Raw genomic sequence first — 25408 nt, 5'->3', positions numbered from 1 at the left:
ATTTAAAACAGGGTTGTGTCACATGCTAGTAAATTAAATGCAAAAAAAAGTATGTATATGATAAGCTTTTATAAATCATCTCAAATCACACATTCTTCATTATATGTGCCTGACAATAGAGCACATAACCTTGTTCTTGGAAAACAAATAGCTGATTAAGTATAGTTCCAGATGTACATGACAACATATCTGTATAGAACCATAAATTTATTGAAGCACAGAATAAACTTGGGTGAGAGGGCAAAGGGAAAAATGGTATTTTGAATATTTACAAATTTCCCCCACTGGATATAATAAATTGATGGTATATTTTTGAGACTACAAATTGGTACATAAAAGTAGTTATATAGTAATAGAGGATTTTTTTTCTTTTTTGAGATGGAGTTTCACTCTTGCTGCCCAGGCTGGAGTGCAATGGCACCATCTCGGCTCACTGCAACCTCCACCTCCTGGGTTCAAGTGATTCTCCTGCCTCAGCCTCCGGAATAGCTGGGATTACAAGCGCCTGCCACAATGCCCAGCTAATTTTTTGTGGTTTTAGTAGACACAGGGTTTCACCATGTTGGCCAGGGTGGTCTCGAACTCCTGACCTCAGATGATGAATCTGCCTCAGCCTCCCAAAGTGCTGGGATTACAGGCGTGAGCCACCATGTCCAGCCAGTGATAAGAGGATTTCAGTCATCTGAGTATCTGTAAAGGTCTTCAGTTGAAGAAATACCTGAAATGAACAATACTTATGTCAAAGGCTGAAAACTAAGGGAGCTTTTACTTTGGATCAAGTTATGGCAAACAAGAAGAATGATTTAAAAGTTATAAAACTTGAAAGAGGTGGTCATATTTTAGAATCAATGATGACCAAATTGGGAAATGTTGGATATAGTGAGTCTTGTACCTACTGCTTTAAAAATGAGGTAGTATGCTGGGCACAGTGGCTCATGCCTATAATCTTGGCACTTTGGGAGGCCAAGGCAGGAGGATCAGTTGAGGCCAGGAGTTTGAGATTAGCCTGGACAACATAGTGAGAACCTATCTCTACCAAAAAAAAAAAGAAAAAAAAGAAAAAGAAGAAGAAAAAAATATTTTAAATTTACTGGGCATGGGAGTGCATGCTGGTAGTTCCAACTATTTGGGGCAGAAGGATCCTTTGACCCCAGAAGTTTGAGGCTGCAGTGAGCTATGATTGCACCACTGAATTCCAGCCTGGGTGACAGGGTGAGACTGTCCCCCAAAAATTTTAAAATAAACTAAAATAAAAATGAGATAGTAGTAGAAAGTTCAGAGGGAATACAGATATGAAACTTAATCTTCTGAGAGATGTTTAAAAGGGTAGCTTAATAAACAAACCATTATATTGATAAATTTTTATGATCCAAATGTGAATGGGAATGACATCTGTAGAGCTGATAACCAAAAACAGTTATATGAGCCCAGAGTTTAAAGGACTTGCAAGGTACAATTTGTAAATAAATTTCAAATATTAAAAGGTCACAGGGACAAACCTGTGAAATTAGTTAGGAAAGCCAAAGAGGCCGGGTGCGGTGGCTCACACCTGTAATCCCAGCACTTTGGGAGGCCGAGGAGGGAGGATTACGAGGCCAGGAGATCGAGACCATCCTGGCTGACATGGTGAAACCCCATCTCTACTAAAATAACAAAACATTAGCTGGGCATGGTGTTGCACGCCTGTAGTACCAGCTACTCGGGAGGCTGAGACGGGAATCGCTTGAACCTGGGAGGCGGAGGTTGCAGTGAGCCAAAATCTTGCCACTGCACTTCAGCCTGGCAACAGAGCGAGACTCTGTCTCAAAAAAAAAAAAAAAAAAAAAAAAAAGCCAAAGGCAGATAGAGCTAAGGCCTCTGAAATTTTCTAAAATAACCAAAAGGTTATTTTAAAGGGGCTTTAAAATTATCTGGGGAACAAGAAGGACAAGAAAAGGATAAAGTCTCATTGGAACCAATAGTGCTATGTTTATAGATAACAGAATGTATATCTGTTCAGGTATTATCTTGCTATAATCTTTATCAAAGAGTGGTTTTTCATTTGGAAGGGTAGAAAATGTATTTGAATTTGTAATAGTTAAAAAGAACACCTGAATTGATAATACTAAATAATAAATACAGAACAGAAAAGGAGGTAGGAGAAAGGGAATACATACTAATTTCATAATCTTTCTTAGGGGATGTTAAGACATTGACAAAAGAAGAAAAAAAAAGACAAAAGACACTGAAGTTTATTTATTTATTTAATTTTTTTGTTTGTTTGTTTTTTGAGACGGAGTCTCCCTCTGTCGCCGAGGCTGGGGTGCAGTGGCACAATCTTGGCTCACAGCAACTTCCGCCTCCTGGATTCAAGCAATTCTCCTGCCTCAGCCTCCCAAGTAGCTGGGACTACAGGCATGCGCCACCACGCCCAGCTAATTTTTTTGTATTTTTAGTAGAGATGGGGTTTCACCAAGTTGGCCAGGCTGGTCTCGAACTCCTGACTGCAAGTGATCCACCTGTCTTGGCCTCTCAAAGTGCTGGGATTATAGGTGTGAGCCTCCGTGCCCTCATATTTAAACTGAGGTTTAAATATGTTCAATTATAAAGGTGATCTCATCAAAAGAAAAAAGGGACTAAACTTACACCCAAACAAAAAATAGCAAAACAAACGCCCAAAACATATATAATAATAAATAGAAAATTAAAAAGGCATTAAAAGTAGAATATGTGGTATTCTATGATCTTCCAAAATATGTGTGATAAAGAAGAAAAATTTCTACAAACTTTAGACTGGTTAACTTGACTTTAATTCCTGGAAAAATTCTTTGAGAATTTATTAAACAGATGGTCTGAAAGCTTTTGTAGTGATCACAAGGGGCAATGTGGATTCATTAGTCTCATAGCTGGGTATGGCAGTGTGCACCTGTAGTCGCAGCTACTTGGGAGGCTGAGGTGGGACGATTGCTCGAGCCCAGGAGTTAGAGGTTGCAGTGAGCTATGACCGCACCACTGCGCTCCAGCCTGGGCGATGGAACGAGACTCTGTCTCTAAAACAAAAACAAAACGAAAAAGCAAAGTCTTGTCAGAATAACATTTCCTTTTTTTGAGGTAGAAGAAGGAAATCCTGTAACTGGGTTGTAGTAAGACGTATGATTGTTTTTCAGTTTATCCTTGTGAACATGTTGGGCAAATGTTGATCAGTGGAACCAGCTGCATATCAGAATCATATAGGTTCTGTGGCTGTTCTAGATTTGGGCTGTCCTATTTACATAACGTAATGTGGCTATATAAATTTAAATTTAGACTGGGCATGGTGGCTCACGCCTGTAATCCCAGCACTTTGGGAGGCCGAGACAGGTGGATCACCTGAGGTCAGTAGTTCCAGACCAGCCTGGCCAACACGGTGAAACCCCCGTCTCTACTAAAGAAATACAAAAAATTAGCCAGGCATGGTGGCGGGCACCTGTAATCCCAGCTACTCGGGAGGCTGAGGCAGGAGAATCTCCTGAACCTGGGAGGCGGAGGTTGCAGTGAGCTGAGATTGCGCTCCAGCCTGGGCAACAAGAGTGTAACTCCATTTCAAAATTAAAAAAAAAAAAAAAAAGGAAGAAAGAACGAAAAAAAGAAGAAAAGAAATTTACATTTAAGGTAGTTAAATGAAAGATGAACATTAACTTCTTCACCTACTGATTGGACAGTGCTGATAAAGAATATTTCCAGCATCATGGAAAGTTTTATTGGACAGTGCTGCCCTAGAGATTCTGATTCTGTAGGTCTGGGGTGTTCCAGATTTGGCAGTCTCTCTAGAGATGACCTATATAGTTGGCAGAATTGTAACTACTTGATTCTTCAGGTTGTACCTCCTATTAATTCCCCACATAACCCTTTGTTTCAGCCAGCCTGTTTGTTGGTGCTCTGTGAAAGTCCCTTACAACTTCCCTTCAGCCTCCCTTCTTTTGCTGCTACCTGCTTTTGGTGGATGCTATTGGCCATTTTTCTTTCTCAGTATCTGTTATCCTTTCCTGCCTACCAGAATATAGACATGCAGTGCATAATGACGTTTTGGTCAACAATGGACCAAATATATATGACAGTGGTCCCAGAAGATTATAATAGCGTATTTTTACTGTACTCTTATGTTCAGATGTTTAGATATAAAAATACCATGTGTTACCACTGCCTACGGTATTCAGTACAGTAACATGCTGTACAGATTTGTAGCCCAGGAGCAGTAGGCTATACCATATAGCCTGAGTGTATATATACAATCCCTGTTTGTGTAAGTACAGTCTGTGATGTTCACACGATGAAACTGCCTAACGATGCATTTCTCAGAACGTATTCCTGTCATTAAGTGACACATGACTATACTGACTTTCTTGAGATGTGTGTTGTCCCTCATAGCGATGTGCCTGAGATGAATCTGGCCCCATCCTCAGCTCCAGGGGTGCATCTGATTGGCATAGGGAATGGACTTTATTTTTTAACTAACAGTGGTTGAGGAATGGGTTTGTAACCCAAATGACATGTGAGTAAGGATAGTCTGGAAGTAGGTTACTAGGAAGACTTTACTCACTGCTGAGAGAACCCTGAGAAGAGAAAGCTTCTTTTCTTCTTCTGGACATTGTGTAGAGTTGTGATACCTAGCACCGTTAAAGCCATTTGCTGTCAGCTTGAGGGTAAAGGCACTATCCAGGATATTAGAGCTGTGAGATGGAAAAAATGGAGTCCTTACATTGTTCAGTTGCTAAATAAGTCAGCCCAGAAGTCTTTCCTTTTTCTGAAGTTATTGTGGAATGATAATACATTTTCCTTTATCTTTTTTTTTTTTTTGAGACAGAGTTTCACTCTTGTCGCCCAGGCTGGAGTGCAATGGCGTAATCTTGGCTCACTGTAACCTCCACCTCCCGGGTTCAAGCAATTCTCCTGCCTCAACCTCCCGAGTAGCTAGGATTACAGGTGCCTGCCACCATGCCCAGCTAATTTTTTTGTATTTTTAGTAGAGATGAGGTTCCACCATGTTGGTCAGGCTGGTCTCAAACTCCTGACCTCAGGTGATCCACCCACCTCAGCCTCCTAAAGTGCTGGGATTACAGGCATGAGCCACTGTGCCCGGCCTCTTTCTTTTTTTGTGTGATTTAGTCTTGCTCTGTCACCCAGGCTGGATGGAGTTCAGTGGTGCGATCTTGGGTCACTGCAGCCTCCGCCTCCCAGGTTCGAGGGATTCTCCCAACTCAGCCTCCTGAGTAGCTGGGATTACAGGTGCATACCACCATGCCTGGCTAATTTTTGTGTTTTTTAGTAGAGATGGGGTTTCACCATGTTGGTCAGGCTGGTCTCAAACTCCTGACCTCAAGTGATCCACCCGCCTCAGCCTCCCGAAGCGCTGGGATTAGAAGGCATGAGCCACCGCGTCCGGCCTCTTTTTTCTTTTCTTAAGATGAGGTCTTGCTCTGCTGCCCAGGCTAGAGTGCAGTAGCACCATCAGGGCTGACTGCAGTCTCGACCTCCCAGGCTCAAGTGATCCTCCCACCACAGCCTCCCGAGCAGCTGGGACCACAGGTGTGCGCCACCATGCCCAGCTAAAAATTAGTGTACTAATTAGTTAAAAATTAGCTACTCGGGAGGCTGAGGTGGGAGGATTGCTTGAGATGGGAGGTTGAGGCTGCAGGGAGCCATGATTGTGCCACTGCACTCCAGCCTGGGCGACAGAGTGACCCCGTTTCAAAAATAGAAAACAAAAATTTTGGAAAAAAATTAGATGGTTGTATCTGTACTGAACATCTGTAGACTTTTTTCCTTATCATTTATTCCTTCCACAATACAGTGTAACAATTATGTACATAGCATTTACATTGTATTAGGTATATAAGTAATCTAGAGATGATTTAAAGTATACAGGAGGATATGTATAGTTTCTATGCAAATACTACGCAGTTTTATATAAGGGACTTGAGCATCTGTGGATTTTGTTATCCTGGAATCAATCTCCCACAGATACTGAGGGTTGACTGTACTTTTAGAATATGGCATCCAAACATGACTTCTTTGGTTCTGCTATAATCCTTAAATTGTTTGATTTCTTGGTCTTGTTTCTTCAACTTAATTGCAAGTTCTTTAGAAGCTCAAACATCATAGGACCTTGTATATAAATAGCCAAGTATCTGTTTTTTCCCTTGCCTTTCTAAATCTGTGATTACATACATAGTATAAGCTTAGGGAAACATTTATTGGTGTGACAATGCAGAAGTTAACTAAACTGATTTAAGTCTTTGAAAGTTTTTGAAATAAAGATTTTATCATTTATTTTCTAGCTGTCACCACTGACTAAAGAAGAGAAAACTGCGGCAGAGCAATTCAAATTTCACATGCCAGATTTATGAAGAAATGGACTTGGAAAGGAAATTCTAACAGAGAAGAGCTTAATTCCGGAGAAATTTAGGAAGATGTCTTGTTAACCCTTGATGTCTAGAGATTGGGGGCTGGTGAAGGGGGTTTGGCTTCAATGACTGGATAATGATATCTTTCATGAGAGAGATTATAAGAAGAAGGGCAGATAATATATGAATAAAGTTCAGCCAAAAGGATCAAATGAGAATAAAACGATTTAAATATATGTACACACGCATGCACACACACACTTAGTCTTGTAATTTCAGGCCAGAAATTCTCAACACTATTTTGCATCTGTTTTCTTTTTCTAAGTCATGATAATATAGATGTTCTGGTCTATCATAAAAGAATGTTTATGTACATTTCAGTCATTCGGTATGTGGCTTTGTAAATTAAAGTATAGGCAAAACATTTGTGTTATACATGATATATAATTTCATTTTGTAAATGTTGATTGCACATGTGGTCACATTATTGTTGAGACTGCTTTTATGTGACCTGTAGTCTCCCACAGAACCTAAAGTAATAAGCTGGCTTTTCTGTGATAGCCACGTTTGCGTATTTCTTTCCCTATTTCCCTTGCCTGCTAATGTTGAACAGCATGAACTTGCTTTCTGATGCTGTTTTAGACTGTCCCTGTTGTATCTCAATAATATCTTTGTTTTCCTTCAGCCTTTATTACTATAATTGTTCATTCTACATGAAAGCTAGGAAACTGAAATTAGAAGAGCACTTATCTGCTACTTGCCAGTTTTGCGTGAGTGTGTTATATGTATGTGTCAATTTCCCTTTAAAATAACTATTTATTTTAAAATAACTATTGGCAATAAGGAAACTGTTCAAAGTAGAGGCAGATCTTGATAGAAAGATGTTAATCACAGGGTTGTTTATAATAGCAATATACATACACATTTGGCTAGTACTAGGTGAATAGGAAAATAAATCATGCTGTATGTATACAATAAGAGGTCAAGTTGCCAATAAATTATTACTGTTAATGTTCTGGGAAATGCTGAAACTATGCTAAGTGGGGGAGAGGGAAAGCAGGTATTGCAGTTTTGTAGTGAAGATTGGGCTTTGGAGTCATATCTGAGATGTAAGTAGCAGCTTTTAAATTCTAGCTATGACCCTGTGCAGATCACTTAACTTTTGAGTGTCAGGATGTTTGGAAGGACAAGACAGGAAAGTGTTTTAATACAGGGTTCAGTATTTAGTAAGCCTTCAATAAGTGATATTACATACATGTAATAAAAACTAAGCATTGAAAGGACTAGGAAAAATGCATCAAATGTTAGTTCTGCAGGTTATAGAATTATACTTTTATGTAATTTTAAAATTTCAGTTATGAACATGTTTGTCCATTAACAAACTTATAATAGCTGAAAAACAGGGTTGTGAGAACAGCTTCAGTTAAAATTGTCCTGTCTAGTTTGAATATTTCAAGAACAGAAAGCCTTTTTTTTTTTTTTTTTTTTTTTGAGACGGAGTCTCACTCTGTTGCCCAGGCTGGAATGCAGTGGTACGCTCTCAGCTCACTGCAACCTCCACCTCCCAGGTTCAAGCAGTTCTCTGCCCCACCCTCCCGAGTAGCTGGGATTACAGGCGCCCGCCACCACGCCCGGCTATTTTTTTGTATTTTTAGTAGAGATGGGGCTTCACCATCTTGACCAGGCTGGTCTTTAACTCCTGATGGTGATCCACCCACCTCGGCCTCCCAAAGTGCTGGGATTACAGGCATGAGCTACCGTGCCTGGCCCCCTTTTTTTTAATTACAGAGAAATAAGTTACACCTTAGTATCAGATATTAATTTTCTTCAGTGTTCAGGCAATTAGTATTTAGAAAGCTCTTGTCATGAGATGGCTCTGGGATGTGATGATGATTGTTGGGATTGAAAAAACGGTAGTATCATGGAGAGATCATAATAAATTCTTAGTATTAAAAGTGGTTTTGCTTTCAGTTAGGGAGAAAAATTAGATTGTACTATTTTTCCTCTATGATTTCCTTCAGTTATCTTCCAAATGTTGTTTTTTCCCCACAGCCCCCTTAACATTGTTCTCTATGCACTTCTCAATACATTTTCATTTGTTTCTCAAGCCTCTTTGTGGATGACTCCTAAATATAACTTCTTCCACTAGCTCTAGATCCGTATTTCCAATAAAATCCCCTACCTGAATATTCAAGTTAAACATGTCCAGAATACTTACTGATTTTATTGTTAATAGCCACTATTCTGTTGTCTGGAATTAAAACCTGTATAACTAATTTGCATCCCTTTATCTTCTTAGTCAATAAAACCTACAATCCTCTTTCTAAAATGGTCATAGTATACAACCTCTACATTATCTTCACACCTCCTTAATTTAGATCTTTTGTTTCTCATTTGGATTATAATTGTTTTCTCCTATGTGACTATAGTGTCTTTATGTCTTAAGTTATAAATAATACATGTTTAAGAATTTAAAAATCACAGGCATGGCCGGGCATGGTGGCTCACGCCTGTAATCCCAGCACTTTGGGAGGTCGAGTCGGGCAGATCACAAGGTCAAAAGATGGAGACCATCCTGGCCAACATGGTGAAACCCTGTCTCTACTAAAATTACAAAAATTAGCTGGGTGTGGTGGCACGTGCCTGTAGTCCCAGCTACTCGGGAGGCTGAGGCAGGGGAATCGCTTGAACCCAGGAGGCGGAGGTTGCAGTGAGCTGAGATTGCGCCACTGCACTCCGGCCTGGCGACAGAGTGAGACTCTGTCTCAAAAAAAAAAAAAACAAAAACCCAAAAAAACAAAAAAAAAACAACAACAAAACAGGCATATAAATTATCTAGAGGTAATCTGCAAATAATTGCTTCAGGCATTTCTACATGTATACAAACTAAAAAAAATTTTTTTCAACAAAAGTAGGTTGATACTATGCCTTGTACTGCTGCTGTACTTAGATTTTTTTTCATTTCATTATTTTATTTGAGAGAGGGTCTCGCTCTGTCACCCAGGGTAGAATGCAGTGTTGCTATCATGGCTCACTGCAGCCTCCAGGGCTCAAGCAATCCTCTTGCCTCAGCCTCCCAAGTAGCTGGGACCACAGATGCATGCCACCAACCCCTGCTAATTTTTGTATATTTTGTAGGACTTGGTTTCATTATGTTGCCCAGGCTGGTCTCCAACTCCTGGGCTCAAGAGATCTGCCAGCCTCAGCTTCCCAAAGTCCTGGGATACATGAGCCACTGTGCCCGGTCTTCAATTCTAATATATTTTTGTTATGTCACACATCCACCCTTCTTTTTAACAGCTGTAATCCATTATATGGCTATACCATACTTTTTTTTTTTTTTTAATTTTAGACAGGATCTGGCTGTGTTGCCCAGGCTGGAGTGCAGTGGTGTGATCTTGGATCACTGCAGCCTCAAATTCCTGGGCTCAAGTGATCCTTCCATCTCAGCCTCCAGAGTAGCTGGGACCACAGGTGTGCACCACCATGCCCAGCTAGATATATAGTCATTTTTATCAGTTCCTTAGTGATAGACATTTAAGCTCTATAACAGCAAGTTATACAAATAATATAACAAGTAAGTTGTATAACAGCAAGTTATTTAAGGATATGTATGAAGTTAGGAGATTTTTCTTGTGGGGAGGGCAGCAAGGTCAGCCTTTAAGGGATTCTGATGGAGCAGACCGTTGGCTCTCAAACCCCAGGGCTTGGCAAACGATGTGAGTTTAGCATCTTGCCAACTAAATTATTTATTTTGCTCAAGTTATCCTTTTTGCTTGCAACCAACGGCCTCTAATCAGCTGTACAGGTTTCTAATTGTTCGCTATTATGAATTGGTGCAATAAGTCCTTCGACATTCTTAGGTTCTTCGGCAAACATACAAGAATCTTAACTATTTATCATGTAAGTATTGCAATTTGTCTTATTTGTCTTCTGTACTGCTCCTTGAGAGCAAGGGCCACTTCTCATTACTCTGAATCCCAAGTACAGCATTGCATTTTTTTTTTTTTTTTTTTTGAGACGGAGTTTCACTCTTGTTGCCCAGGTTGGAGTGCAATGGCGCGATCTCGGCTCACCGCAACCTCCGCCTCCTGGGTTCGAGCGATTCTTCTGCCTCAGCCTCCCCAGTAGCTGGGATTACAGGCATGCGCCACCACGCCCGGCTAATTTTGTATTTTTAGTAGAGACGGGGTTTCTCCATGTTGGTCAGGCTGGTCTCGAACTCCCGACCTCAGGTGATTCGCCAGCCTCGGCCTCCCAAAGTGCTGGGATTACAGGTGTGAGCCACCACGCCAGGCCTAGCACTGCATTCTATAAATAATTCTTTTAAGTAAAATTCTCATAATATTAACCATCAACCATTTAAAAATGTACAACTGAGGCCATTTTCGTAAAAATAGCTCCATGTAGGTCAAAGACCACAAATAATTCTTACTGAAAGAATTTTTCAGTCTCAGATTAATCTTTCTAAATTATATCTTGTTCATGACCCAAGTAGTTAAAAAAAATTGTTGCTACCCACCACCTATAAGCCTAAATGCCTGATATTCAAGAACTTATTTCTAGATTATTAGTGATTCTCTACATGTGCACTCTAGGTCGGTTAAGTATAATTAGTTGTTTGCAATAAATACAGGAAAAATTAAATTCAAATTACGAATTTGATATGCCCTCTTTGTCTCACAAACCTTCAATTCTTGCAATCTTTACACATCTGGCAGGAAACTGTAGAAAGCAGATCCCATTTATAGGAAAGATGAATATCGCTGATACCCTTTCAATAGTCCCACGGCGACAACTTAGGCGGCAAGAATGAAGTGTGGGATGTGGGAACGAAGACTTCACAGTGTGTGGTCCCGTCCTCTCACCACCGTAATGAGAAATGACACCTCAGTTTGGAGCCTTCTAACTCGATTAGCTTTGGTAGGTGGAACGCAAGTCCTACAAACCTTAGACTGTTCCTTCCAGAGAGAACCACTAACCATGAACCTTCTGCACCAGGGTTTCTCAAAGTGCGGGCCACAGACCACCTGCTGCCGAATCACACGATGCTGGGTGAAAACGCGGATGGCCTGGGCCCCACCCTGGAATCTCAGAGTCCGAATACTTAACTACGGGTGTGGCTCTGAAGTCTGCGCTTTCCACCAGTACGCCAGGTGGCTCCGTCTTTGGCGCGCAAGTTTGAGAGCCGTGGGGCCCCGCCCTCCGCCAAGGTGGGCGTGGGTGGCGTAGCAGAGCCCCAAGCTCAGGCCGCCTGCGCAGGCTAGGGCCGGAGGCACGCAACCCTGAGGCAGCGAGTCGCCAAGTCTCGTATGCGCCCCGCAACGCGGGAACTAGGCGATCGCTCCACGCTCCTCCCCTCCTTTCCCCTCCCACAGCGTCCTGCGCGCATGCGCTTCGCAGCTTCTCTCGCCGCCGCGCCCCCAGCTGCTCTGGTTACGGTTGGTGTTTGCGAATTCTCTGCGGCACCTTCTTCGCTGAACTCCACCGTCAGTTCCATAGGCGCGCGCCCGCGTCACGTGGGCCGAGGTTCCGGCGCGGCTGCTGGCCGGCGGCTGAGCCGGGAGAAAGGAGCTGCGGCCACCGTTCGCCCTACTTCTGCGCCTCGGGGCGGGCGCGCCGGTAAAAATGGCGAAATGGGGGTAGGCGGCGCTGGACCTGAAGAGATGGGGCGCGCAGGTGGGGCGGTTGTCAGAGCCCCCTGACGTGGGCGCCGGGCTTTTATCGGCGATTTGATCTGGCGACCTCGGGCCGGCGCCTAAGAGGTCAGACTGCGGAGCCTGCGGGTCGCCAGCGGCCCCGCCGAGAGCCGGAGGCAATGGATGAACAGAGCGTGGAGGTGAGGGGGTTGTGAGGGTGGTGGTTAGTCCCCGCCCCCACCCGATGAGCGGTTTTTATTCGGGGAGTCGTGCCCATGTCCTCCCTCCAGTAGGGCACCCCTACCCCGCCCCTGCCGCTGTGGAGAGGGCTGGCCCGGTACCAAGGATGCCGTGCCCATTCTGCAGCGCTCCGGGTGTCTTGTGCTCACTGTTCCGCAGTCAGGTGGTGCGTATCCTGGAGTTTTCAAGGATGTCTTGGCACAGGTACTCATCCCCACCGGGTGTTTGCAAACAGCATCCTTTTCCGACCAAAACTGCAGATTCATCAGATGGATGTACCCTGCCACTCGCCACCAGTCCTTGCGAGTTCTTGAGCTGATCTAAATCTCCTTCCAAATGGATAGTCATCTTTCCCTCTCAGTGGCACATTTTGCAGGCTTCTGCCCTTCCTTCCTAGATTGAATCAGCATATATTATCTCATGTGTAGTTTCCAGAACAAACTCTTCTTTTTATAACTGATTCTTGTAAGCTGTGAGTTAAAATAGTTGGGATATGTAGGATATGTAAGTAAAGGCTAGGAATATATTTTAAAAGATTGTTTATTGAACATAATTGTGTAATCATTATCAAATTTTGAACCTTTCAGATACTGAAATAGGAAATCCTTGCTTTTTAGTAAGGGGTAACTATGTTATGGATATTCCACTTGAAACTAGTCATTCAGTAGTCTTATTGTCCACCCCGTTGCAGGTTACAGAATCTGCATCTCCCAGGTTCTTTCTGGCCCTACAGAGTCATGATGAGATTAATGAGTAATTTTCTCCTTAATTCCTCATATAAAGTATTATAAAGGTTTTGTAAACTTATCTTGGTTTTAGGAGGGTTTAATTCTAGAATGGAGTGAAAGTAAATGTCAGTAATATAAAAACAAAGTATACAATACAATAAGTATACGTTTAATTGTATCCTTTTTCTTGTTAAAAACTTTTCAGTTACTTCCTAAATTGATTAAATTGAGGCTTGCAAACATAATACTGTTTCTTGTATTTACATATTTTTGTTGTTGTTGTTCCCAAGATCGCTTTGAACTACCGTCAACATTTTCAATTGGGGCAGAATCTCAGGTTCAAATAAGTAGCTAGTCTGTTGTAACATCAGGGCAGCAATTCAGATTTCTGGATTCTGAATTCATTTTTTTCTGGGTCACAGTACACTGCCTTTAGGATGTGTCTTTTTAAACTTCTTTTTCCTCTAAATTATAAAATCAGTTTATACCTTTTGGGGAAATTGCAGAAAAAGTTAAAAGTTCATGTTGTGTATTCAGTCATATAGTCTGCCTTTTTTCCTTTTTTCTTTTTTTTTTTTTTTGAGACAGAATCTCACTCTGTCACCCAGGCTAGAGTGCAGTGGCACCCTCTTGGCTCACTGCAACCTCCGCCTCCTAGGTTCAAGCAATTCTTCTGCCTTAGCCTCCTGTGTAGCTGGGATTACAGGTGCACACCACCACGCCTGGCTAATTTTTGTATTTTTAGTAGAGACGGGGTTTAACCATTTTGGCCAGGTTGGTCTCGAACTCCCGACCTCGAGTGATCCACCTGCCTCAGCCTCCCAAAGTGCTAGGATTACAGTAATGAACCATCATGCCTGGGCCTTTTTTCCCTGCTGTTATACATTATATGCATTTTTCTATATCATTAGATGAAGAAGTATTTCTGGTGACTGTAATCTATGTGTAACTGCCATAATTTACTTAATATTTGGACATTTGGGCTGTACCTAGATTCTTGCCATTATAATTACTGCTTTAGTGAAAATTTTTCTGCATGTCTGTGTTTGCATTTCCTATATTTTCCTTAGAATAGAATCATCGTGAAACCAAACGGGAGTACATTTTCCAGATGTTTTGAGGTACTCTGTATCTTGACCAACCAAATCCTGATATGGAATAGTTAAAATTGAGAGATCAGCCCAAAATAAATGTAAATGTCAAGTTGTTTTGAGCTTGCCTTTTACTCTTGATTCAGTAGCCTAAACTGGTGGACCTTACATCTTTTACTGTTTTCAGAGCATTGCTGAGGTTTTCCGATGTTTCATTTGTATGGAGAAATTGCGGGATGCACGCCTGTGTCCTCATTGCTCCAAACTGTGTTGTTTCAGCTGTATTAGGGTAAGTTGTATTTCTTTTTACATGCAGTTAGTATATATAGTATATATTGTAAGGATTAACCATTTCCCTTATCTTTTTATTTTACATTTTTTGCCCTAAAGTGCTTGCTTGCACTGTGCTTGGGGTTGAGGAATACTAAGATAAATGACAAATTGCCTGCCTTGAAGGAGCTTAAATCTAATTGAGGGAATGGAGTTTAGAATGTTTATTTTGAAGAATGTGCGGTATCATAAGGAGGCACTAAAGAAGTGCTGTGGGGCTCAGAAGAGGACTGGTTTATATGTGTTTGGTGAGTAAGATAGAGAAAAAGTGTTTAATCTTACAATTACAAGACACTCTAGAGATGAATATAATCTAGTGGCTTTAAAACTTGAGTGTTGGTGCTTTGGGAGGCCGAGGTAGGTGGATCACGAGGTCAAGAGATCGAGACCATCCTGGCCAACATGGTGAAACCCTGTCTCTACTAAAAATACAAAAATTAGCTGGGCATGGTGGCATGTACCTGTGTCCCAGCTACTTGGGAGGCTGAGGCAGGAGAATTGTTTGAACCCGGGAGGGCAGAGGTTGCAGTGAGCCGAGAGAGCGCCACTGCACTCCAGCCTGGCGACAGAGTGAGACTCCGTCTCAAAAAAAAAAAAAAAACTTGAATGTTGGCCTGAGCGCGGTGGCCCAGGCCTGTAATCCCAGCACTTTGGGAGGCCGAGGCGGGTGGATCATGGTGTCAGGAGTTCGAGAACAGCCTGACCAACATGGTGAAACCCCATCTCTACTAAAAATACAAAAATTAGCTGGGCATGGTGGTGTGTGCCTGTAATCCCAGCTACTCAGGAGGCTGAGGCAGGAGAATCGCTTGAACCCAGGAGGCGGAGGTTGCAGTGAGCCGAGATCATGCCAGTGCACTCCAGCCTGGGTGACAGAGCGAGACTCTGTCTCAAAAAAACAAAAAACAAAATAACAAAATGAGGAAGTCCAAGATTTTGGTTGTGTATGCGAGAGTCCAATAGCACATCTACAGAGCATAGTTGAAAACTGCCTTGTTCACATTCCCCTTCAATTATTTATTTTCCTGAGAAAATCAAAGAGGTCACATGCTCTTCACCTCAAACTTTCTGTTTCAGCTGGGCGCAGTAGGTAGCTCACGCCTGTAATCCCGGCATTTTGGGAGGCTGAGGTGTGTGGATCACCTGAGGTCAGGAGTTCGAGACCATCCTGACCAATATGGTGAAACCCTGTCTCTGCTAAAAATACAAAAATTAGCCAGGCATGGTGGCATGCTCCTGTAGTCCCAGCTACTCGAGAGGCTGAGACAGGAGAATCACTTGAACCCGGGAGGCAGAGGTTGCAGTGAGCAGAGATGGTGCCACTGCACTCCAGCCTGGCGACAGAGCGAGACTTCGTCTCAAAAAAAAAAAAAATTTCTGTTTCCTTATTCTTGCCTAAGGAAGATACATATGCCTTTGTCAAGAGTATTATCCGTAACACTTAAATAATTTTTTTCTAGTCACACAGCTCACAATTGATGGTACTGGATTTGAACCCATTAAGTTCAAGAACTCTATAGCCTGTTCTTTGTCACTGTACCATGCGCAGAAGACCCAGTTAAATATGATGTTAGTTCTCATACTTCTAAAACTAAGAGATTCACTCTTTCTTGGCCTTCTTTCTTCAGCTGTAGAATTCAGATATGATTTGCTTTACAGGGTGGTTATGGCATTAAATGAGATAACCTAAGGAGTAATTCAGAAATTATGAAATACTATATCTACTTGTTTGTAAGGTGTTATTTTATTGTTAAAATAGCAACTAATACACATTAACACTTACCCATGTTTTAATAAACAGTGAAACTGATGCTAGATAAATTAAGTAATTGGACTCCGTTATAGTTAATTAAGTGGTAGAATCTGGATCTGGGCGCATTTCTTTTGATGAAGGTCCCATGTGCTTATGGTCTCTGGTTGTTACCTTATGCCTCATTGATTCTGTATTTTTTCATTGTTACATCTTCTTCCTCCTGCCCCTTAAATGCATTTATTTCTTAATTTCCTAAGATCTTGTTGCTGTCGTTCTCTACTCTGAGGTTTCTGGGAGTATTCACCTACTTTGGGAAATTTGATTTACTTTAGCAGCTTTAGCTATCATCTCTGTGTGTATGGCTCCTAAATCTATTCCTTCAGCACTGACTTTTGGATGTCTTGTCCTTCTAGCATCTTGAACTTTGTTCAAGATCAGATTATTCATATTATTTTCTCAAACCGATTCTAAGTTCATTCTTTTTGTTCTGTTCTGCTAGTCACTCAAACTGGAAACTTTATACCAATGATTTTTTTATTTTTTATTTTTTATTTTTTTTTGAGATGGATTCTTGCTCTGTTGCCCAGGCTAAAGTGCAGTGGCGTGATCTTGGGTCACTACGACCTCCGCCTCCCAGGTTCAAGAGATTTTCCTGCCTCAGCCTCTCAAGTTGCTGGGAGTATCAGCGCACTCCATGATGCCCGGCTATTTTTGTATATATATATGTATATATGTGTGTGTATATATGTATATATATAAACATGTATATGTATATATGTGTGTGTGTGTGTGTGTGTGTGTGTATATATATATATATATATTTTTTTTTTTTTTTTTTTTTTTGTAGAGATGGGGTTTCACTATGTTGCCCAGGCTGGTCTCAAACTCCTGACCTCAACTGATCTTCCCTCCTTGGCCTCCCAAAGTGCTGGGATTACAGGCATGAGCCGCTGCCTCTGGCCTATACCAATGATTTTTAAGTGCAATTAGTTATTATCTCCCTGTTTCACTTATATTTGTCTTACCCTTCTGTTTTTATCATTACCATGCTAATAGAGAAGTATGAACATTGGTTACCTCATGCTTAGATTATTTAATTACTTTCTGTCTGATCTCTCAGGTTTGAGTCTTTTCTTATCTCCAGTCCATTTTCTGTCCTGCTACTATATTAATATTTTTCACTGATATCTCTTTCTTTTCCCCAGAAGCCTCAGAAATGTATTATGTAAAGGATAAAATCCAAGAATGTTAGCCTTGTGTTCAGACCATCCAGATCTGGTTCTGACCTTTCTTTCTAGGGCTGTCTTGGTTCCTGAATGCACTAATCATTTGTTCATTCATTCAGCAAATATTGATTGCTTGCCTACTTGTTTTCAAGCCAGTCATTTTTTATTAGGTATAACTGACATGCAGTAAACTACACATATTTAAAGTGTACAGTTTTTTTGTTTGTTTTGTTCTTTTTTTTTTTTTTTTGAGACGGCGTTTTGCTCTTGTTGCCCAGCCTGGAGTGCAATGACGCGATCTCCGCTCACTGCAACCTCCATCTCCTGGGTTCGAGTGATTCTCCTGCCTCAGCCTCCCAAGTAGCTGGGATTATAGGCATGCATCACCACGCTTGACTAATTTTGTATTTTTAGTAGAAACAGGGTTTCACCATGTTGGTCAGGTTGGTCTCAAACTCCTGACCTCAGGTGATCCACCCACCTCAGCCTCCCAAAGTGCTAGGATTACAGATGTGAGTCACTGAGCCTGGCCAAGTGTACAGTTTTGACATATATGTATTCTTGTGAGACAATCATTGCATCCAAGTTAGTGAATATATCTGTCATCCCCAAAAGTTTCCTTGTGCCTCTTGGTAATTCCTCCCTCTACTTGCCTTGTCCCCAGGCAACCATTGATCTGCTTTCTGTCACGATAGATAAGTTTGCTTCAGAGATAAGGGGGATGGAAAAAGAGAAAAAAGATAAGTTTGCATGTTTTGGAATTTTATACAAATGAAAATCATACAATATGTACTCTTACGGATCTGGCTTTTTTTCACTCAGCAAAAATACTGTATGTATCAGTAGTATTCCTTTTTATTGCTAAGTAGTATTCCATTGTATGTATTTACCACAATTTGTTTATGCATTCACCTGTTGATGGGCATATGGCATGTTTACAGTTTTTGCTATTACAGTGAAAATTGCTGCGAACATTCGTGTACAAGAAGCTTTCTTTTCTCTTGGGTAAATAATTAGTAATGGAACGGATAGAGATTATGTGGTAGATGTGTGTTTAACATTTTGAAAATTGCCAAGCTATTTTCTAAAATACTTGTATCTGGGAGCTAAACAATGAGCATACATGGACATAAAGGGGGAAATGCTAGACACTGGGGACTTCAAAAGAGGGAGAGGAGGAGAGGGATGAAGGTTAAATTAAAAAAAGGATTGGGAGGCCGAAGTGGATGGATCACCTGAATTCGGGAGTTCGAGACCAGCTTGACCAACATGGAGAACTCTGTCTCTACCAAAAATACAAAATTAGCCAGGCCTGGTGGTACATGTCTGTAATCCCAGCTCCTTGGGAGCCTGAGGCAGGAGAATCACTTGAATCCAGAAGGCGGAGGTTGTGGTGAGCCGAGATCGCACCATTGCACTCCAGCCTGGGCAACAAGAGCGAAACTCTGTCTCAAAAAGAAAAAAAAGGAAATAGTTTTATAATTTTACATTCTCACCAGAAGTTTATGAGAGTTCCAATTCCTCCACATTAATGCTAACAGTTGGTGTGTTCGGTTTTGTGAATTTTAGCCATTCTCAGGGACGTGTAGCCATTCTTACAGGTATCTCCTTGTTTTAGTTAGCGTTTCTCTGTTGAGTAATGATGTTAGCATCTTTTCCAGGAGTTATTTACCATCCATATGTTGTCTTTGGTAAGGGGTCTGTTCAGTGCCCCCCATTTTGTGCTAAAATAAATATAACAAAATTTTCCATTTTACCCATATTTAAGGGTACAGTTCGGTGTCTTTAATTACATTCATAATGTTATACAACCATATCACTATTTCCAAAATCTTTCATCACCCCAAACAGAAAGTCTGTACCCATTAAAAAAAAAGAAAAAAGAAAATAAACATAAGTAAACATAGAAAAGGTATATTAAAAATACAGTATAAAAGATAAAAAATGGTACACCTATGTAGGGCAGCTCCATTCTAATCTTACGAGACTACTGTAGTATATGCGGTCCATCATTTACCGAAACATCTTTATGTGACACATGGCTATATACCACTTTTTGTTTATCCTTTTTCTTAAGTTTTTTTGTTTTTTGAGACAGAGCCTCGCTCTGTCGCCAGGCTGGAGTGCAATCGTGCGATCTCGGCTCACCACACCCTCCACCTCCGAGGTTCAAGCGAGTCTGCTGCCTCAGCCTCCCGAGTAGCTGGGACTACAGGTGTGCGCCAGTACACCCAGCTAATTTTTGTATTTTTAGTAGAGATGGGGTTTCACCATGTTGGCCAGGATGGTGTCGATCTCTTGACCTGGTGATCCACCCTCCTTGGCCTCCCAAAGTGCTGGGATTACAGGCGTTGAGCCACCGCGCCTAGCCTATTTATCCATTTTTATCTCTTGATGGACACTTGGGTTGTTTTCACTTTTTGGATATTGGATATTGTTAATAGTTCTGTTGTTAACAATTATCTGTTTGAGTTCCTGCTTTCATTTCTTTTGAATATATATCTAGAAGTGAAATTGCTGGGTCATATGGTATTCTGTTAATTTTTTTTTAATTGTGGTAAAATATACCTAATGTAAAATTAGCCTTTTTTTTTTTTTTTTTTTAAATGAGACAGTGTCTCACTCTGTTGCCCACGTTGGAGCACAGTGACACAATCATGGCTCACTGCAGCCTCAATCTCTTGGGCTCAAGCAGTTGGCCTGCTTCACACTCTTGAGTAGCTGGGACCACAAGTGTGTGCCATCGTGCCTGGCTAATTTTTTTATTTTTTGTAGAGACAGGGTTTTACTTTGTTGCCAAAGCTGGCCTCAAACTCCTGGGCTCAAGTGATCTGCCTGCCTTGGCCTCCCAAGTGCTAGGATTACAGATGTGAGCCACTTGGCCCAGCCAAATTTGCAATTTTAACTGTATTTTTAAGTGTACTGTTTAGCGGCATTAAGTACATTCACATTGTTGTGCAGCCATCACCACTATCCACCTTTAGTACTTTTTCATCATCCCAAACTGAAACTCTGTACTTGATAAACAATAAATTCTCATTATTCTCTTCCCCCTAGCCCCTGTTAACCACTATTCTACCTTCTGTCTTTACATTGACTATTCTAAGTACATCATATAAATGGAATCATAAAATATTTTTGTTTATTTCTACCTCTCTATTCTGTTCTATTAGTCTCTATTTCTGTTCTTATGGTAGTACCACACTGTTTTGATTACTGTAGCTTTGTAGTAAGTTTTGAAATTAGGAAGTGTGAGTCCTCCAACTTTTTCAAGATAGTTTTGACTATTTGGCATCCCTTGAGATTCCATGTGAATTTTAAATGCAGTTTTCTACCAATATAAAAAGTACCATTGGAGTTTTAGTAGGGATTACATTGATTCTGTACATGCCTTTGAGTAATATTGCTGTCTTAACAATATTAAATCTTATGATCCTTGAACATGGGTGTCTTTCCATTTATTTAGGACTTCTTTAACTTCTTTGAGCAGTGTATTGTAGTTTTGCACGTATAAGTCTTTCTTTTTGTTTTTTATTGTTTTGAGACAGGATCTCACTGTCACCCAGGCTGGAGTGCAGTGATGCGATCATGGCTCACTGCAGCCTCAACTTCCTGGGTTCAAGAGACCCTCTTGTCTTGGCCTCCCAATGCTGGGATTATAGGTGTGAGCCACCACACTCAGCCTCCATGTATGTCTTTCAAATTCTTGGTTTTTTTTTTCCCTAAGCATTTTATTCCTTTTGATGCTGTTGCAAATGTGTTATTTTCTTAATTTCGTTTTTAGATTGTTCATTGCAAGCTTATAGAAATGCCAGTGTTTTTTGTGTGTTTGTCTCCTGTAACTGTTGTGTTTATTAGCTTTAACAATATTTTGTGGACTCTTTAGGGATTTTTACAGATAAGATCATGTCATCTGCAAAAAGATAATTTCACTTCTTTTTTAATTAGGATACTTTTTATTTCTTTATCTTGCCTAAGTACTCTGGCTGGAATTTTTAGTACCTGTATTATGTCAAATAGAAATGGTAAAAGCTGGCATCCTTGTCTTTTTCCTGATCTTAAGGGGAATTTTTCCTGATCTTAAGGGGAAGAGTTTTTAGCCTTTGAATCGTTGACTATGATTTTTATGAGTTTTTATATATGGCCTTTATCAAGTTGAGGAAGTTCCCTTCTATTTCTATTGAGTATTTTTATCATGAAAGGATATTGGATTTTGTCAGATGCCTTTTCTGCATCAATTGAGATGATCATAGTGGGGGTTTTCCATGAAGTGGTTTATTACATTGAATGATTTTTGTAGTTGAATCATCTTTCTATTCTAGGAATAAATCCCACTTGGCCACAGTGTATAATTTTTTAAATAGTCTGTTGAATTAGTTTTATTGGGATTTTGTTGAGGATTTCCCTAGCACAATTTCTCTAGTAAATATCTTAAACTCCCAGACCACATATACATTAAAATTTTTCATATAGCATTATGAATGAGGATGCACAGTACATGTCAATAATGATATCTCTGATTATATTCTGAAGAAATGGAAGGAATTTAATAAATACTTATATTTTTAATTAATTTCAAATGCAGGATTAGGCATTGGAAATAGTATTTAATCAATCATGAGCCCATGATCTAAGATTTTTAATAATTGCTGTAATTAATGTTTCTTAAAGACCTTGTTTTCTGTTACAAAGTTGGTTTTTTTTTTTTTGTTTTTTTTTTTTTGAGACAGAGTCTCACTGTCACCCAGGCTGTAGTGCAGTGGCACGATCTTGGCTCATTGCAACCTCTGCCTCCTGGGTTCAAGCGATTCTCCTGCCTCAGCCTCCCGAGTAGCTGGGATTACAGGCACCCACCACCATGCCTGGCTAATTTTTATATTTTTAGTAGAGGCGGGGTTTCACCATGTTGGCCAGGCTGGTCTCGAACTCCTGACTCCAGGTGATCCACCCACCTCGGCCTCCCAAAGTATTGAGATTACAGGCGTGAGCCACTGTGCCCGGCTGATGTTTTTTTTTTAAACTCTCTTTTTTTGGTCTCCTGTTACACTAACAGTAATTTTATTTACCATCTGGCTTATTTAGTTCTGTATGCTAGATAATTAATATATACAATCTTTATGATAATTACTCATTCTTACAGGTTTTTGGAAATGAACAAAAGGACAGCTTTTCCCTTTCTTTGGTAGACATACCATAAGAAGTGGACTTTTGTTATAGTTTAGTGGTATAGATGTTTGTAAGAAACTATTTTAGTCTGGGCACAGTGGCTCATGCCTGTAGTCCCAGCACGTTGGGAGGCCCAAAGATGGAGGATTGTTTGAGCCCAGGACTTCAAGACCAGGCTGAGCAACATGGCAAGATCCCATCTCTGCAAAAAAAATTAAAAAATTAGCTGGATGTGGTGGGCACACCTGTAGCCTCAGCTACTTCAGAGGGTCAGGTGGGAGGACCTCTTGAGATGAAGAGGTTGAGGCTGCAGTGAGCTGTGTTTGGGCCACTGCTCTCCTGCCTGAGTGACAGAGTGAGACTTGTCTCAAAAACAAAAACAACCCCAGAAAGTATTTAGCATGTTTTTGTATGTATATATAGTTTGCCTCAAACAGTACATTAGGGGATGTAAGAAATTTTGTATGCTTTCACAAGGCATCTAAGATCCTCTATGATCGGCCTCCTAGTTTCCTTGCAATTTTGAGCTGTTTGGGAATAAAAGTCCTTTGTTAACAAATTTCCTATTTACTGCCTGTTTTCTCTTATAGCTAAAAGTATTTAAAAGAGTGTTTTCCACTCCATTTCCCTGCAACCTTGCCATCTACTTACCCTTCAACCCATTCTAACTTGGCTTTAGCTCCCTCCACACTACTCACATAGCTCCTGCAAAGTGTAGACTCAGTTTTGCTAAATCCAATGAACCTTTTGTTGGCCTTATCTTTCCTTCTCGGAGCATTCAGCATAAATTACTTCATCTGTTTTTCTTGAAACGTTATCTTTGGTATCTTTGCCATAATAGCTATACCATCTTCCTAGTAACTTCATGGTCTATGGATTTTTTTTTTTTAAGAGACCGAGTCTTGCTCTGTCATCCAGGCTAGAGACAGTGGCATGATCATGGCTCACTGCAGCCCTGACCTCTGGACTCAGTTGATCCTCCCACCTCAGCCTCCTGAGGAGTAGCTGGGACTACAGGCGTGTCCACCATGCCCGGCTAATTTTTAAATTTATTGTAGAGATGGTATCTTGCTATGTGACCCAGGCTGATCTGGAGCTCCTGGCCTTAAGCAATCCTCCCACCTTGGCCTGCCAAAGTGCTGGGATTAAAGGTGTGAGCCACCACACCCGACTGGTCCATGACTTTTAACACTACCTCTAGACTTAAACTTCCCAACTTTATCTTTTCAGTCCTGGCCTTTTCTCTGCCTCCAGTATCTAACTACCTTCATTTGGACTTGTAGTATGCATCTGAAATATATCGTCTCTATAAGAGGTTTTTTTTTGTTTTGTTTTTGTTTTTGTTTTTGTTTTTCACCATGCCAAATCTGTTTCTTTTCCAGTCAGGAACCCAGTTTTTTATCCAAAAACCTAGCTCACCTTAATCTTCCTTTTTCCTCACATCCAGTAGTAATTGAACTATAAATGTTAGCAGCCAGTTTGTTTTTTTTTTAAGATTATCTTAGATACTTAGTATATATTGCTAACAGCTTCTCTCTAACCCTTAGAGCGGTTTTGCAGGGTAGATATGTTGATTCTCTTGTTGCATATGAGGAGACGAGCTCAGTCACTTGTCCAATGTCATGTGGTCCATAAGTGCCAGAGCTGGGAATCAGACACAGATCTGAATACTTTCTAAAGCTTGTGATTCTTCCAGTTTAATGAAGGAGAGAAAATAATTTTTAATTTTAATTTTATTTTATGTTTATGATTTTTTAATTGAATGAGGGGGAATGCTCTAAAGATATTTGTTTAATATTATGCATTAATATTGTACCACTGGTTCTTTGGTTTTGGTTTGAGAGAAACATTGCTTTTCTCAAAGTATTAACATTGTCATATTTATTTTGTAATTAAATTAGATTGTGGAGGCTGAGCAATTTCATGCCTGTATGCCTGTAATCCCAGCACTTTGGGAGGCCCAGGCGGGCAGATCACTTGAGGTCAGAGTTGGAGACTAGCCTGGCCAACGTGGGAAAACCCCATCTCTAATAAAAATACGAAAACCATCTGGGTGTGGCGTCGCATGCCTGTAATCCCAGCTGCTTGAGAGGCTGAGGCATGAGAATTGCTTGAACCCGGGAGGCAGAGGTTGCAGTGAGTTGAGATTGCACCACTGCACTCAAGCCTGGGGGAGGGAGTGAGACTCTGTCTCAAAAAATAAATAAATAAATTAGATTGTGGAATACAAGATAAAAATACCACAAATATTCAGAGAATGTAAAACTCACTATAGCCTGGGAAAGGCAGGAAATTTTATGGACATGATCCAGTGACATTTCTATGAGACGGGATATGGAGGGAGGGACCATATAAGCAAATGCACAGATATATCGACAGTGTTATATAGTGCAGCAGTAAGCCTGTTTTGACTGGGAGGGAGGGAGACATTTAAAATACGATCTGGTTACTCCCTATCATAGTCCCAGTCTTTATAAGTTTTATAGTCTAGCAGGGCAAAGGAGACCAACAAATAAGTCGTCGTAATAAAGTATCTGAAGGGGGAAGTGTAGGTTGCTGTGGTAGAGCATGGCAATTGTATCTAAAATAGTCTGCAGAGTGTCAGGGAAAGCTTTTTGGAGAAAGCAACTTATGAACTGAAATCTAAACAATGAGTAGGAGTAACCCAGATGAAGAAAGGTTTTGAAGAATATCTTAGGCAGAGAGAGGAAACATGTAAAGACATTACCTTGCTGGGTTATAGGGCCAGTTCTGGAGAGGAGTTCATGAGACCAGTTCTGGAGAGGAGCTGTGACTTTAACAGAAGAGTGGCATGGTCATGCCATTGTTTCAGGGGAAGAAACCTGACCCAAATTTCGTTTTTGCCTAGGGAC

The 25408-nt window shown here is 40.8% G+C and overlaps 2 protein-coding genes and 1 long non-coding RNA gene across 51 annotated transcripts in view, besides 9 other annotated features; 2 read left to right on the top strand and 1 right to left on the bottom strand.

Moving 5' to 3' along the window:
• SKA2 (spindle and kinetochore associated complex subunit 2) overlaps window positions 1-8785 on the top strand; it is a 45330-nt gene extending 36545 nt beyond the window's left edge. For all 3 annotated transcript variants that reach the window (NM_182620.4, NM_001330399.2, NM_001100595.2), the window contains one exon: window positions 6297-8785. In NM_182620.4, the coding sequence (NP_872426.1) occupies window positions 6297-6365 (69 nt within the window). In that variant the 3' untranslated portion in view covers window positions 6366-8785. The remainder of the gene's footprint in view (window positions 1-6296) is intronic.
• LOC124904039 (uncharacterized) lies at window positions 189-11546 on the bottom strand. Of its 2 annotated transcripts, none has more exons than XR_007065864.1 (2): window positions 11051-11546; window positions 189-4688 (listed from the first exon to the last, which is right to left on the bottom strand). It is a non-coding gene; the product is annotated as an uncharacterized LOC124904039 (long non-coding RNA). The 2 variants fall into 2 exon arrangements; XR_007065863.1 differs by having other exon boundaries at window positions 189-718.
• Window positions 11239-11318: an enhancer, noted in NCBI's record as "active region_12499". NCBI's record gives its function as "activates an Ori minimal core promoter by ATAC-STARR-seq in GM12878 lymphoblastoid cells {active_cell/tissue: GM12878}" and the evidence as "EXISTENCE:reporter gene assay evidence [ECO:0000049][PMID:35858748]".
• Window positions 11355-12014: an enhancer, noted in NCBI's record as "NANOG-H3K27ac-H3K4me1 hESC enhancer chr17:57183989-57184648 (GRCh37/hg19 assembly coordinates)". NCBI's record gives its function as "activates a minimal SCP1, AML or CMV promoter by ChIP-STARR-seq in primed H9 embryonic stem cells {active_cell/tissue: H9 hESC(primed)}" and the evidence as "EXISTENCE:reporter gene assay evidence [ECO:0000049][PMID:30033119]".
• Window positions 11359-11408: an enhancer, noted in NCBI's record as "active region_12498". NCBI's record gives its function as "activates an Ori minimal core promoter by ATAC-STARR-seq in GM12878 lymphoblastoid cells {active_cell/tissue: GM12878}" and the evidence as "EXISTENCE:reporter gene assay evidence [ECO:0000049][PMID:35858748]".
• Window positions 11539-11648: a silencer, noted in NCBI's record as "silent region_8776". NCBI's record gives its function as "represses an Ori minimal core promoter by ATAC-STARR-seq in GM12878 lymphoblastoid cells {active_cell/tissue: GM12878}" and the evidence as "EXISTENCE:reporter gene assay evidence [ECO:0000049][PMID:35858748]".
• The window catches only part of TRIM37 (tripartite motif containing 37), a 139680-nt gene continuing 126033 nt past the window's right edge, over window positions 11762-25408 (top strand). For 27 of the 46 annotated variants that reach the window (NR_148346.2, XM_047436111.1, XM_017024663.3 and 24 more), the window contains exons 1-2: window positions 11762-12201; window positions 14248-14349. Coding sequence is in view for 41 of the 46 variants with exons in the window: in XM_047436111.1 (XP_047292067.1) it covers window positions 12181-12201; window positions 14248-14349 (123 nt within the window). In the remaining 5 variants the exon portion in view is untranslated. The remainder of the gene's footprint in view (window positions 12202-14247; window positions 14350-25408) is intronic. The other 19 variants (NR_148347.2, XM_047436110.1, XM_047436107.1 and 16 more) reach the window with 1 other exon arrangement.
• Window positions 11779-11878: an enhancer, noted in NCBI's record as "active region_12497". NCBI's record gives its function as "activates an Ori minimal core promoter by ATAC-STARR-seq in GM12878 lymphoblastoid cells {active_cell/tissue: GM12878}" and the evidence as "EXISTENCE:reporter gene assay evidence [ECO:0000049][PMID:35858748]".
• Window positions 11969-12098: an enhancer, noted in NCBI's record as "active region_12496". NCBI's record gives its function as "activates an Ori minimal core promoter by ATAC-STARR-seq in GM12878 lymphoblastoid cells {active_cell/tissue: GM12878}" and the evidence as "EXISTENCE:reporter gene assay evidence [ECO:0000049][PMID:35858748]".
• Window positions 11969-12674: a biological region, named in NCBI's record as "NANOG-H3K27ac-H3K4me1 hESC enhancer GRCh37_chr17:57183329-57183988".
• Window positions 12015-12674: an enhancer, noted in NCBI's record as "NANOG-H3K27ac-H3K4me1 hESC enhancer chr17:57183329-57183988 (GRCh37/hg19 assembly coordinates)". NCBI's record gives its function as "activates a minimal SCP1, AML or CMV promoter by ChIP-STARR-seq in primed H9 embryonic stem cells {active_cell/tissue: H9 hESC(primed)}" and the evidence as "EXISTENCE:reporter gene assay evidence [ECO:0000049][PMID:30033119]".
• Window positions 12309-12358: an enhancer, noted in NCBI's record as "active region_12495". NCBI's record gives its function as "activates an Ori minimal core promoter by ATAC-STARR-seq in GM12878 lymphoblastoid cells {active_cell/tissue: GM12878}" and the evidence as "EXISTENCE:reporter gene assay evidence [ECO:0000049][PMID:35858748]".

This window comes from Homo sapiens, chromosome 17, assembly GCF_000001405.40.
Source record: "Homo sapiens chromosome 17, GRCh38.p14 Primary Assembly".
NCBI classification, from domain to species: Eukaryota; Metazoa; Chordata; class Mammalia; order Primates; family Hominidae; genus Homo; species Homo sapiens.
Note: the sequence above shows the minus strand (reverse complement) of the source record. Positions and strands in the feature narration are given on the sequence as shown.